Here is a 15,941-nt window from a genome sequence, read left to right on the forward strand (position 1 = left end):
TATGGCATTTTGCTGCAAGAAAATTAGACATATGAGTAACGCAGCACATAAAGCCTTTGGCTTCCCTTCTAACATTTGTTTACTCTCATAGTGGTGAATAAGTTTGAAGAGTATGTCTTTCATCTTTCAGTCATTCATTAATCTACTCAAAAATAGTTAAAGTACACAAACAAACTCCAAGACACCATTAGCCACCCATAAAAGAATTGAGTACCATCTAGTTAAGAGTGAAACCATAAGGAAGTAATGATTCATTCACATGTGAGCTGTGAAATAGCATTGTGTAGGATATTCTGTGGTAGCAAACAGTACAAAAGCCTCAAGGGCTTCAGCACGAAAGCTTTATTCCTTGGACATACCACATAGCCATTGCGGATCAGAGTGTTTGGAGAGTACATAGGGGAGAGTGTCCTCTGATTTACATAGTCATTCAAAAATCTAGACTCTGAGAGCTCCAGTGCCCCAGTGTCTTATAAGACTGTCATCTCAATGTAAAGTTTAAGGATTCATTGCAGTAGGGCAAAGAACATCAGAATTTCTTACCAGCAATTATCTACTCTCACCCTGTAAAAGATACATAAAATTTCTGCTCACAGTCCATTAGCCAGACCCAGTCACGTGGCTCCTAATTACAAGGATATAGGAAGTATAACACACCCATTCCCACCCCAGGCTTGGAAGAAGAGGATATTGGCAAGTATTTGAAGAGATAAGCTGCATCAGGAAAATGCAAAGCTTTCTGCAAACACATGAGAGTGAATGACAGCTGAAACAGCAATGGCTTTATATAGGAGGTGATGCATAAGATACTCTGAGTGACTTTGGGGTTATGTTAGGTGTTCAGTTCATTCATTAATGAAAGCATCTCTTTTTAAAAATCTAAGTCTCCAACAATGATATGTGTTTGGTTCAGAAGGCCAGCACTCCTGGCAAATTTGGAAGCTGAACAAAATCATTCCCGTCTTACTAGGATTCCTGACACGTAGTGCAACCACCTACATGGCAGATCTATTTAGAAGCCTGAAAGACATCTCAAACTCACCACATTCAAACTGAACTCATCTTCATCAACATATGTAGTCCTTCCCTAGTGTCTTCAATCTTGGTGAATGATTGCACCATTCATCTAATTTTGTTATCTAGAAACCTGGGAGTTATACTTGTTTCATATGTCTCTCATTTTTAATCTCAAATTCAGAATATATGTCTTAATAAAATTTTTAACTCATAAATATCTTTTGAATATGTTTACTTTTCTCTGTCTACATTGCAGCACCATAGTTCAAATCAACTTGCCTTCTCAAATCTATTATCCTTAACTTGACTTTCAAGTCCATGCATTATCTGGCCCTACGTATTCACCAGCCTCATTTATCATATTGTTCCTTTGTTCTGATACTCTGGCCATATTGGCCTTTTTTCAGGTTTTTAATATTCCAGATTTTTTTCTGCCTCAGGATCTTAACACATGCTGGTTATGATGTTGGAGTGCTTTCTTTTCTCTTTTATCTGGTTAAATTCTATGCAGCCTTCAGATCTCAATATAGGTATCAACTATTCAGGGAAGATATTTTTGACTCTTCAGAATCACTCAGAACTTTGCATTGTACCTCCTCATAGTGACCTGTATTTTCCCTTTACAGAATTTATCAATTTATCATTATATATGATTATGTATTTATTTGGGTGGTTATTTGATTAGTAACTTCTTCCCCAACCAGATTTGGAGTTTCAACAAAACAGGCATGATTTTTCCTCATCCATGTGGACCAGAGCCTCACAAATAGTAATTAGTCATTACATTGCATTCCTGCCTCAGATCCTTTGTTCTTCCCCTTCCCACTGGATGGAATGCACTTCCTCTGTATTCTCTTTTGATTACTTCTTCAAACCTTTTGTGTGTTTACTCAATTTTTGTGTGGTCTTTCCTGACCAGTCTTGTAGTACATTTATATCTCCTCCCACTTCCCTAACATCTTTCTTCTTATCACTTATCACTCTTTGAATACAGTTTTTAAATAAATAAATTTATTTATTTATTGCCTCCCTTTGATCATTAGACTGTAAATTCCATGATAACAGAGATTTTTATATTTTTTACTTCCTGATCTCCGAATGCCTAAAACAACACATATTTGTTGTTCCATAAATATTTGTTGAGTCAATGAATAAATGAACTGTGAATTGTCTCTCCATTAATTAGAACAGCTCTATGCATCTCATCCAATGAAAAAAATATTAATTTACCAGTCTTAACAATTTGCATAGAGATGACAAGCTTATACCTTTAAAGTGCATGTAGGAAATTTTCTTTTTTTTTGTAGACTAAGTTATAATTTACAATAAGAAGGCCAAAATGACTAATTTGTCTATTATACCATACTTGGAAACTTAAACTTTCTAGTGAAAGGGTTATATTTATTATAAAAATAATTTTCAGCTTAGCTATTTTCTGTCATCATCCAATCACCTTCATCCTACTGAATTTTCCTCCTAACTATTGCTAATTTGTTTCTCTAATCTCACACTAATTATTGTAAGAAAAAAAACAAACCTTTTTCCAACTGGCTTTTCTACCTTACAGTCCTGCTTTCTTCCAACTCATCTTCCTCACAGTCACCTAAGTCACTGAACACAAATGTGATCAGATTATTCTTCTGATTGACATACACATGCAGCTTCCTCAAAATTAGAAAACAAAAGGAAATGCCTCTCATTCCTATATACCCATTATAATTGACTTTGCTTGGCTCGTCACAGTACTTGTCACCCCCAAATACTTCCCTCCTGTCCCTCTCCATGAACAACTGCTACCCTTAACTACATCAATTTTATATCGCTCCCTTCACTTCTAATTTATTTTTTAGGTCTGTTTCTCAAAGAAATTTTTCCCAACCCATCTCTGTAGTTCAAAGCTTATGTAATACTCTCAGCATATTTCCAGCATTACATTTGTCATGTTGTTTTAGGATTATTGTTCATAGAGCCACCCCCTTTTGGTTTTGAACTCGCTGGGTTTAAAGATTGTGTCTTATTCTTTGTATTCCCATTTACTGGAGGAATGTCTGGCACATAACAGACATTATCGAACCTTGTTGAATAAAAAGAGAATGAGTATATTTAGCCTTGATGGGGGAAAACTTCTAAAATATGCACAGAAATCAGGCATTTTCTAACTGTGTTTGTAAAGCTAAACTTGATTATATCACTAGCCATTTATGCTTTGGGGAGAGTAAGCTTCATGCAGTCTAGGGAAACCAAGTAACCTTCGCTTGGTAATTTTCCTTTCAAAAGAAGAAAAGAGGAGAGGAGATGAGGAGAGGACAGAGGAAGGGAAAAGATAGAAAAAAAAAGAGGAGATAAAAGAAGAAGAGTACCAGCTCTCTTTGAGAAGCTGATTCTAGGGCTCATCTTTGACAAGAGAAATGTTAAGATGATTTTTTTGGCTTGCTAAACTTGACTCATCCCTCAGGCATCTGCTTAAATCAGAGAGGATACTTCTGATCTCTCAATGACAATTTTGTCTCCCATTATATTTCCCATAGCACCCTGTATTTTTTTTATAACATTTGCACAATTTGCAATTATATATTTATTTATTATACTATTCATTAAATGCCAGGAGAAGCCACTAAGAACATAAACCATAAGAGGTCGGGGGCCATGTATGCTCTATGGAAGCAGCCACAATGCCAGTTACACTCAACACCTGACACATAGTAGATGTTCAAAAAACGTTTGCTGAATGAATGGGGAGATGATAAGATGCATAGGCGATTGACTGAACTTTAAATAGATGCTTTCTTTATCCCCTAATCTTTAAAGAAGTATGAAGTTTTCTGTATTGGGGAGGAAACAGAAAATAATATTGTAGTCTGGTATATTTGAGGGAGGATGAGCAGGCTTGGTTAAAATAGAAAGCTGAGCTTTCCACAGTGATTGGATCCAATCTGAATACAAATTTAATCACTCTATGAGTGTATCTACTATCATTAGACACTAAAATTGTAAATTCAGCAATGTAATATGGCTGACTCTTTAAAAATAAATTTTTATTATTTATATCTGAGAGTAAATATTCAGTTTTTTCATATTATAGTAGTATGAATAATTTGCTTTCCAAAATTCCTCCAGAACTGCCAAGAATTGGCAAACTCTGCGTGGTAGAGAGATTTGAACAAATAATTGCAACAAAATGAAAATATTTCGGTAAACCCTAAGTAGACATTAAGTTTGAAAATATTGAAAACTTAAACGATTTTAAAGAAGAAATATATTTATAAATTCATATCTCATAGGTGAGGGTACTGATGAGACTAAATTTAGTTGACAGAAATCTGAAGTGAATGTAGAGAAGTGCTTTAAATATATATTGCTAAAATTTTAACCTTGAGTTTTTATCCAATTGTTTTGATAATCTCTTTTCTCTGAATCATGGCATCATAGATTTTTTTTTCTTGTTTGCTTCTTTTCTTTGTAATGGGAACAGTCTGTGATCTTACATCCTCTGGGTGTGAAAACTCATTTTCAGAAACTACCTAAAAAAGTGCAGTGAAAAATAAATCTTCTAGCTAAAGATAAAGTAGAGATTGTTACTGAAATACAAGGTCATATGATTTTTTAAAAAAATATCTTATTACTTGATTACCCAGTTGAGAATAACTATGTCAAAAAATCTCTGAGATTCTATGTGTGTATTTCTGTAATTTCTTCGAACAGTAATACACTAAATTATAATGTTATAACAGTGAACAATTGATGTTTATTGACACAATGCAAAAAATAAGATTGAGTTAAGTCCTCTATGATTGCAGGAACCATTTCTATATTGTTTGCAATTTTTTCCCCAGTACCGACCTAGCAATACATGGCACATACTAAGTAGTACTTAAAAATCTTTGGTGGATATCACTGAAGTATCATCCTTCTTGATTTTTTCATTCGTTTCTCACTCACTTATATATTTCTTTTGAATAAGTGTAATACTTTAATGTGTGGTTTTGGTAATAAGCCTTCATGAACTGATATTAGATGTAGTCAAGTCTTCTCTTCCAAGGTGAAATATGACTTTCTTTCTTTTCTCAGTCTTTGTTTCCCTAGATTAAATCACCAGGTAGCTCACTGTTAAGTTTCAAATAAAATATGGTAATTTAAATGCTCATTTTGTCATGGACAATTAAGAGTGAAGAGATGATGTATAATAATATATTCCAATTTCTCTTTAATGGGACCAACTAATGTTTTGGATTATTTGAGCCAATGTTACCTATCTCTGAAACAGATAATCATTCTTGACTTTCTCTTTTCCCTTTCACTTTCTCTCCACCTTTTCTTCTTTCTCTATTTTTAACCACTTCTTCAGTTATATTATAAATCTCTATGGCATCCAAAGTGCGAAGGGGTTCTGTCACTGAAAAAGTTATTCCTTCTGTAAATATATTCAATGTATACTTAATACTATACACATGAAAGTGATATTTTTAAGAAAATTATGATTCATTTCTAGTAAAGAGAAATATTTTAAAGGAAATATTTTAGCTTGTTTTTTAAATAAAAATAATTTTCTAAATAAAAAATTATTCCATAAAATTATTTAAAATACTCAATCTAATAATATATAAATGGAAAAATTAGTCTTTTTTCAGACACTGTTTTCTTTCAGTCAGCCACTGTTACCAATCTCTTATATTCTCTAACAGAAATATTTAAAGCCCCTAACAGAAATATTGCATTTGCAAACATCACATTTAAAATCAACATTCCATGATATACACAACGGTCTATACATTTTCAGTTAGATTATTTTATTTATGTTGGATTAGATATTACTTTATACAATCTACAGTGATTTTTAAATGTATAGTTATATATTTTATATATTAGGAATAGCTATATCTACTGCTTTTGGTTAATGCAGCATTAAGTAATTGTGTGAAACATGTTAATTTGAAGTGATTTTTTACTCTAAGCTAATTCAGTTTGATAATTTAGTTTTTTTCTAGTAAAATTTGTGATGACAGTAACAATGAACATAAGGTGTACTAAAGGATTTTATAGATTGATCATGTCTAAAGATTTTTGTAAATGTTCCACTTCTTTCATACTGCAAAGTATCCTTGTGTTAACATATTTTATAACATCTTGTTTGTTTAATATTTTCATTAATAATTGATTCTCTTTATCATAATCTTAGAATATTTTAATGTTTGCATTTCTATATACATTCAGACATTATAAATAAAATTTTATAATTATATTTAATATATCTTTGGTTTGGGGCTGCAATTGTTGAGTTTAAGAATATTAAAGCTTTTCAAAATGTAAACTTGTTAAGAATGAGCTTGCACATGTTAGCTACATGTAAAATCTTTTTAAAACAAAAAGAAAAAATATGGAATCTGTCTGAAGAAATATGAAGTTTTAAAAGTGTTTATAAAATTTGGCAAATTTAATAATAATAGTTTATATGTATAGAGTTTTCATTACATACCAGGTGCTATTTTAACTGTTTTTGTATATTGCTTATTTAATACTTACTTCAAAACCTCTGTGAACTATTATAATGCTTATTTTGGAAATAAGAAAATTGAGGCACAGAGAAATGATACTATTTGCTTTTAGGTCATAGCTGTTAAATGTTCGGGGATTTGGATTTCAATCCACTAGTATCTAGATGATTTATTACTTCATTAATTCAAAAATCTCTGAGCATTAGTTCAAAATGTTTCAGTATTAATAAGTTATTTACCCTCAAATAACTTACCTTTCAGTGGGGGCAGAAAAATAAGTGGAGAAAGGAAGGAAGGCAGGAAGGGAAGAGTGAGAAGAAAGGGGGAAGGAGGGAAGGGAAGGAAGGAGGGAAGGAAGGAGAGAAGAAAGGAGAGAGGGAGGGAAGAAGGAAGGAGGGAAGGAAGAAAGGAAGGAAGGAACGAAGGAAGGAAGGAAGGGAGGGAGGGAGGAAGGGAAGGAAGGGAGAGAGAAGGAGGACAGGTGCTATTAATAAGCTTTATTTTCATGATTGCTATCAAAAAAATAAAAATAAAAAACAAGGAAAGAGAGTAGAGAGTGCCAAGTTGGGAATATGAAGACAGAATACATTTTTAAATAAGATTGTCACTGAAAATCACATTTCACCACAGATCTGGAAGAGGTGAGGAATTAAGCTAGGGTTAAAGATCAGGCCATGCCTGGTGATTTCAAAGAAAGCAAGGCGTCCACGTGGGCCAGGTGCTGCAGGCTGAGGGAGCACTGAAAGCTTTTTTTCTGAGAGGGAACACAGGGCCAGATGGTGTAAGGCCCTGGGGTGACTATGGTTTTTATTTGGAATGAGAGGTGAAACCAGTAAAGGATTTTGAGCATATGAGTAACACATCCAACTTTGATATTTTTAAGGATCATTGAGAATAAAATATTCTTGCTAGAATAGACTGAATAGGGCCAAGGGTGGAAACAAGAAGGGAATTTGGACTTTGTTGGCCTATGATGGAAGCAAAATACATATCTATTTTATGTATTTCCTAGATTTTGTGACCTCTAAGTACATTAAGATAGCAGTGGAAAGCTCAGAAATACATTCCTATCCATTTTTTATAAGAAATGGAGTTTAACTTCCCTCATACTTGGTAGGGCTTATCATAACACTAATTTTTTTAACATGTTATATGTACTTCCTCAGCCACTTTGCCAGCTAATTTATTATCCTGGGGCAAGTAAATAAAAGTTGGGCTAACTTCAAGGCATCTAGGAAAATAGCAGAAAAATATCTTTTTATTTTTTTCTATGATTGAAAGACTAATGCATTCACAAACGTCAGAGAATGAGAAGCATTAAGGGTTCATGAATATAGAGTGAGTGCAATTGGTTCTAAAAGCTATCCTCCTCAAAATTCCTGGATTGGTATTGCTTTTCAAGTAAGTTATTTTGAGACAAAATGGTTTTGCTTTTCAATATTTACATTTAATTTCATTTTAAACAAAAACAGATTGATACCAACATTCACAGGGATACCTACTGTGCTGAAGGCTGATTTTGACAGTTGTAAGATAATACATGCAATTCTTTGAAATTAATCATCACCTAAATGTTGCTTATTATAGACAAATACATAGCAACAAATTTAGAATTAAAAGATGTTTGTAACCATATGCCTGTGATGATCTATATTTTAATCAGTACATACTCCTGATGTTTTTAATACACAGTCAGCAAGTATTTACCTATTGCCTGCTCTGAGATGAGCATTCAGCCACATTTGAATAATGTTTTGAAAGGTTTGGGTTGTTTTCAGGGAGAATATAAAGTAAACAGCCAAGAAAGACCCACAAAATGCTTTTGGAGAAAAGTGTATGATAGTGCGTTATTTATTGCTCAAATAAAGACAATGGATATTTAAATAAAAGCCATGGGAAATAAGCTGATACAAGCTATATGGGGTTAAGTCATTCAACACATTTTCATGATCTATATTTAGGCATGAGATTAAACTGGAAGCCCCACCAGTCAGTGTAGGATAGAGTGCCAGTTTATGTATGAAGTTTTAGAAGGAATATTTTTCTTTGAGATTAAGGAAATAATGGTATCCCATGATACTTGCACTTTCTACCTTTTACAGTAGTCCTCCTTACCCACGATTTCACTTTCTGTGGTTTCAGTTACCCATGGCCAACCATGGTCTGAAAATATTAAATGGAAAAATTCCAGAAATAAACTATTTGTATGTTTTAAAATGCATGTTGTTTTGAGTAGCATGATGAAATCTCACGCCATCCTACTCCATCCTGCCCAGGACATGAGTCATCTCTTTGTCCAGTATCTCGATGCTGTGTTATCCACCCGTTAGTCACTTAGTAGTCCTGGCAGTTGTCACACTGACTATCGGTATTACAGTGATTGTGTTCAAGTAACCCTTATTTTACTTAATAATGGCCCAAATGCACATGAGTGTGGATGCTGGCAATTCGGATATGCCAAAGAGAAGCCATAAAGTGCTTCTTCTAAGTGACAAGGTGAAAGTTCTTGACTTAGTAAGGAAAGAAGAAAGAATCATATGCTGAGATCATTAACAGCGATAGTAAGAATAAATCTATTCATGAAACTGTGAAGAAGGAAAGAGAAATCCATGCATGGTACACATAATTATTGGTACTAGGCATAGTTTCAGGAATACAGTAGGGGAGCTGGAACATATCCCCTACGGATAAGGGAGGATTTCTGTAACGTAATTGCTTTTGTATATTATCTTCCCTATTAGGACAAGAGCTCCTCATAAGTAAAGAGGATATCTCAATCATCTTTATATCCAAAATTATATATCATAAAGTTACTATTCAGTAAATATTTATTGATTGAAGTAGGTGATGACATACTAAAATATAATTTCAATATCTAGCCCTTTCTTTAGAAGAAATTGATTATTCATACTTGTTTTAAAAACCTGATTGTATTTCTCAAGTATAATATTGTTAACTTATTGAAGACAGGTTTACACTGTTAAGATTTAAATAATTAAAACCAACTAACTGAATTTTATTTCTAAAGAGGACTGCTCAAATTTTGTGCCCAAAAAACTATGATAGACAATTTAAAGTAAGAGATTTTCAAGTTATAATTAGTAGTGGAACTCATTACATGAGAAAATTAAGATGTGTCATTGGTAATAGTAATAAGGAATATAATTTTGTAGAATCACAGATATTATAATATTTTTAAATCCTTTCTTAAGAAATTGATAGTTTTTTTCAAAATCTATGATTTTGGAGGATGAGGTATTGTAGGTATTGGCTTTGTTTGTAGAAGATTACACATATAATTGTATAAAGTTAGTGTAAATGGATTGCTCATATTTCAATTCTTAGACCTCATCTTCATTTCCTCTCCTGGAAATCCTTGTGTACAATTACCCTGGTAAATGGATGGACCCATTTCAATATTTTATATTTAATTTCATTTTAAATAAAAATAGATTGACATCAACATCCCCAATGATACCACTCTGCTGAAGGATGATTTTGAAAGTTGTAAGACATTTTATGCAATCATTTAAAATTAATCATCACCTAAATGTTCCTTATTATAGTCAAATGCATAGCAACATATTTAGAATTAAAAAGATGTTTAGCACCGTGCTGGACACTTAGAAATGTCCAATAAATATTTCTATGATAGTTATTATCATCTTTTCTAATCTTGTTGGAGTTGTTCACTTTTAGGAGTGCTTCAAAGATCACTTCTTCTAGTCACCTTCTGAACTCCTCTTTACTTTTTATAGTTCAGCATACCACTACCTGCTGATTGGTTAATATCTTTGGTAGCTTCTGAGTCATGGTTCATCAGGAAACCAAGGGTGCGATTTGCATTCAAGCAAATCCTCCTCCTTCCTCCTGCTCACTGTCACTTCTATTTTTACTTTGGAGCGCAAGGTTCTTTAAGGCGTCTGGTATTCTGAGGCTTCCTGCATTTACAGATTTACTACCTGCTTCTCTATAAGAAATGTGAATTGGTGACAAATCTTTACCAGAAAAAGGCAATTGTAATTAGATTAATACCTAAGGCCAAAGCTTTTCTTTGCTCCGAAACCCGTATTCTTTCCCCTTTTTAGACTACTATCAATTTTTATCTCAGTTCCTTCAGAGCTCCTGGTTAATTTTTTTTTTAAGAAAAAATCAAGACTTATTTGAGAACCTTATAGTTAATGCATTGACAAACATGTATAGAATTCCTGCTTTGTCTGGGAATGTTTGTTAAGAACTAGTTCAGGATTTCTTATCCTGGCATCCATGTTTCTTCAAGGGTTTCAGAGAATTTTCTCTGAAATTTTATACAAAATGTGGTGTATACATTTGCATATGCATTTTTCTGGGGAATGAGCTTATAGCTCCAATCACGTTACCAAAGGGTTGAGACTCCAAAAAAGTTAAGATTCACTCACTACACTGGCAGAAATACAAAAAACACATTTCCTTGGTTGAGGAACTTGTAATATAAATGAAGCTGACACCATAAATGACAGTATAAAAATAAAGGTGAAATGCTCTACAATAGGTAAAAAGAGAAAAATCACTTAATAATCATTTTGGAGAGGAATAACTGAGACTTTGTCTGGATTTAGAAATGTTATTTATGAAAGTTTTATGGGACTTCTATCCTGTGTGGGAAAGAGTGTGAGCAAAGCCTTGGAATTAGTATTGATTAGAGTGCATGGGAACATAACGAAGAGCCCATGTCTTGAATAATATTGATTTATAAAGAAAGAAAGGTTATTGAACATGTGAGATATTAATAATTCTCATGGTTTAAAATGTTGACTAATACAATGATACATTGTAGTTGATATTTTAGCTAATTACCCTTAGATTTAAACACTTTTGGATTTTGAAAACCTTAAATATTCTTCAAGGATGTTTTGTAAAATGCCTCAGTCACAATGATCATCATGATATATAATTAATAAAGACACTGGTCCATTTCCCAAAGGGGCTAAACACAGTTTTCCAATAACAAATCACATTATAGCAGTTTACACTGACACAGACTGCCCCAAACTTATGTATATTTGAGTTTTATTAAGTACATTCAGTACAGTTTGCATCTGGGCCTCTGTTTTATTTGATTAAAAGAAAAAAGTTCAAATTTTATGGCTAAAGAGAGCAGACATATCCATTTGAATATTCCACTGTCACCTCAAAAATAATATTTTTTTCTTTTCAAGCAGTGCTTTTATTTCTTACAATCTGTACAATAAGGTGACTTGCCTTGAAAGCATTTCACTTTTTCTATCCAAAAAAGTTATAAAAATTTGCAAAGTTAACTTTTATAAATTGATAGTGTTGTCTCTGACTCACATCATCATATTAGAGATGAATTTCCATAGTGGGAGGGAAAGAACCTTAGATCCAACATACCCACAATAGTATTTTAGATCAAGAAACAACAGGGTGGGGAACATCACACACTGGGGCCTGTCGTGGGGTGACGGGAGCGGGGAAGGATAGCATTAGTAGATATACCTAATGTAAATGACGAGTTAATGGGTGCAGCACACCAACAAGGCACTTGTATACATATGTAACAAACCTGCACGTTGTGCACATGTACCCTAGAACTTGAAGTATAATAAAATAATAATAATAATAATAATGTATCTTAAACTAGACTGTTCAGGATGCTCTCCTCCCTTCTACTTTTATCATCTTCCTCCTCGCTCCTTTTTCTTCCAAGCTTCACAGTTTCTGTCCATTGTAACCAGTCTTTCATTCTCCAACTCCCTCATCTTTCCCAAAATGGACTCATTTTCCCCAGAAAATTACTTTCTTCATCTCCTTACACTGTCTTTCTTATTTTCACTCCTCGCTATAACTGCATTTCTGTTACCTCCAATCTACAATCCGGAGTCTATCTTTTCCTTTCACCATTTTAAATATTGCTCTAAATTCAAGGCTTGGCTGAAGAGTAACCATCTGCTAGAAAGTTTCTGAATTACAACTATGCAATAATTATGCCATAGAACTATGCTCCTAACATGCACCTCTCCAGATTTTAGGTACATAGCTCACTATTTTATTTAGAATTAATTCTACTGATTCCTCATGTATATGTGTATTACCTATCTTCTCACCCAAACTATAATATTCTTGGGTCAGATATAAGTCTATTTTATTATTGGTTTATTGTTTGTTTTATTTTGTTTTGTTTTCATCTATCAGATCATTAGGCACAAAATGAGCTCTTGATATGTAGTTATTAAGACACTGGCAAGATTTTAGGAGGGGAATGACACATAGTTGCTAGCCGCCAACATATAATTTATGGTGTACAAAGCACTTTTACATGCTTTTTCTCATTTACTAATCATAGCAACACTATTATATATTATCATCCACATTTTGCAGATAAGAAAACAGTACATTTAGAGAAAGTCATCGATTTGGTTAGGAATAGGAAACTAGTAAATTGCTAAACTGAGCATTAAACTCAACATTTTTACTCCATACCCAGGTTTCCATGTTACCATAGCTGTCTTCCAAGGCTGCATTTTGTACAAGAGAGTTAAAAATGAAATTGTTTCTAATATCTGTTTGATTAAAGGAAAATATCTGGAACAAATTTGTCAAGATAGTTAACAGAATTTCTAGGTGTTACTGAATTTTAAAGTCTCCACGGTGAAATGATGGTTAACTAACATTTATTTACATATGGAAGAAGGTATTTTTGGCAGCTTTTTAAGGTGTAAAACTTAAGACACCTCAGAACATGTAGGATAAAAGGAAACTTTGTCAGGGATGTCTTGAGAAACCTGTGGCAATTTGAACTGTGCTCAGGAGGAAGGACACAAATCATGGCTGTAGTGAGATCTGTGAAGTAGTCTTCCCTCTACAGCTTCTCTTTAAAAGCTAAGTAATGGGTGGCAAAATAAACCAAACTGAAACTGAGATGCATGTCATCTCATTAGTGTCTTCTTAGATCCACAGTGCTAGCACTGATAAGCTCAAGTGCTGAGAATTGTTCAAATAAATTCTATGTGCAATCAATAGAAGACCTAAGAAAACTGTGAATAAGTTAATCACTATAATTTTATATATTAACAATTTTTCATTCTCTTTCTCCTGATATAAATATTTTTGTCTTAATTCTTATGAATTGAGGGTCAAGTTATGTCTGGTTTTCCTTCCATATCATGTATGGTCTGCCTGAACTATAGATCTGGCAAGTCCTTGAACTATGCTAAGTGGTTTAAATGGGATAATACTTAACATACTTTGATAAAAACCAGGTGGCTTCACTCATTAACCTCTTGGATTCACTAATATGGAAAACATCATCTTATCACGTTTTTAACATGAAAACAACCTACCTACTACCTACCACTAATTTTTAAAATAATAATCTTATCATTCAAATTATAGTACATTTTAGGTTCTGCACATAATACTACTCAGAAATTAGCTTAGTCACATACACCCAGGGGATCAGTCACTGCTATTATAAAAATCAAAAAAGTTATAAACCATTCTTCAGTAATATAAAATAGAGAAAATATTTTAGCAATAGGAAAAATGACCAGTATAGACCTAAACAATCAGTTGTTTCCCTTTCCCCACCTCTCTAAACACACATTTTAAAATAGGAGCCGCCCCGATCAAATTTTAAATTTTGGCAAATAAATAGAAGACTTCAATCTTCCATAGAAAATAACATTCATTTTATTTTACTGGAGGTCTGATTTAGAATTCAAAAGGAAGTCAAAATTTAAAAGGAAGTCAAAAGGAAGTCAAGATTAATTTGGAAATAATGGGACACAAATATATATGGATATTTAATTTAGCAATACATTAATCACCCAAAATAATCTCAAGGGAAAAAGTTTAATGACAAATAACGGTAAAGAGGAGAATTATTTTTTTCAGAATTACACAATATTGTTGAAATAACTAGATATGAATCCTAATTTGAGTAAACTCACTTTCACAGAGAACTTAAGAGAAACATAAGTCATATTCTTGAATTGAAAAATTAGGATGTATAAGTAGCATTATAATATTCTCATAATGGTTTGGACTCACTCCTAACTAAATTGCCCAAATAAGTTGATCTACTGCTGGCCTTTGCCATCAAAAATATTTACCAATCTCCACTAGGATTGTGCAGATAAATGCAATGGCTGCCATCATTACAATCAGTATGCATGTACTTACTGAGGAGGAGTCTACAAATGAAAACCAATTCCTGGGAATTTGTGGGCAATTTCAATATTAAGAGCAACCATGACTAACAGTAAATGACAGGCTACATTTTTCAATTTGCTAATAATGATTCTTGCTTTAATTTTTTTAAAATTTCCACTGCTGATTTATCAAAATATATGGATTAGCACTGACTGTAAAGTTATAATCTAGATGGATCATTATTAATTCTTAGTACTAAAATACATATTTTTGAATTAAACTTGTCAAAAATTCAATTCTGTCTCCAAAATTTGAATCAATGTTAAGCATAACTTTCAAAGCCAACTCACCTAGCAACATTCTTCTACATCTGTATTAAAGAGGAGGAAAGTCTTAGTGCCAATAATCACTGAATACTAAAAAAATAAAATGCTCACAAACTTAGATACTCATGAAGTCTGAACTATAAGAGAATATCCTGGAAAAGTTGAGGCAAAGATGTCAAGTCTTCTATTTGAATAAAATTTGTTATCCTATAATTTCTGCTTACACTAGGCCAGTAGATGACAATATGTTATGAAAACAAACTTCTCTGAAGAGAAACTAAGACTTTAACTAAAAAGATAGGTTTAAGGCTAGAATTTATCTCATGTTTTATAGATAAGCAAAAAATAAAAACCATGGTGCAGTGTTAATAAATTAGAAGTGAGTTTAATGTTTATTTTATACGGATGATTCTGCCATAACCAAGGCAATTATAAAAAATAATAATAATAATAAAGTTGCCCTCTGCATTTCTCCTGAAGACCTCAACTTTCAGTCTCTCATGCGCAAAGATGCTTCCAGGGGCTTGGAATGAGGAGGCTAGCAATGGATATGTTTTATTTTTGGAAAATCTGCAAAAATAAGCTGTTTTAACCAATATTGGTGAGAGCACTGTGTTCTTTCTACCTAACTTTGTATTCATATTGCTTTTATAATTTTTCTTTTTTTTTCCAAAAAGATTCTGATAATTGTACAAGTGTCAAGAAACTTAACACCTGGAACCACTCCTACATTCTTTTTCTCTGCTTCAATATCTCTCCCCATCAGTCCTGCTCACTGAAATCCTTCCTAGCAGTCAAGGACTACCCTAAATACCTCCTCTCTAGGCAGTTGTTACAGTATGTTTATAGTACTTCGATTGTATCCATTTTCAGTTTTAATTTTACTCGGTCTTAATTTATGATTGTGTTTTTTAATCTGTTTTTTTTTTTTTTTTTTTTTTTTTTTTTTTTTTTG

General features: G+C 32.9%; 1 protein-coding gene across 8 annotated transcripts in view; it reads left to right on the forward strand.

Moving 5' to 3' along the window:
- SYT1 (synaptotagmin 1) overlaps nucleotides 1–15,941 on the forward strand; it is a 588,027-nt gene that overhangs the window by 14,444 nt on the left and 557,642 nt on the right. The gene's annotated exons all lie outside the window — the stretch shown is intronic.

The sequence above is a fragment of the Homo sapiens genome, chromosome 12, assembly GCF_000001405.40.
Source record: "Homo sapiens chromosome 12, GRCh38.p14 Primary Assembly".
Taxonomy (NCBI): Eukaryota; Metazoa; Chordata; class Mammalia; order Primates; family Hominidae; genus Homo; species Homo sapiens.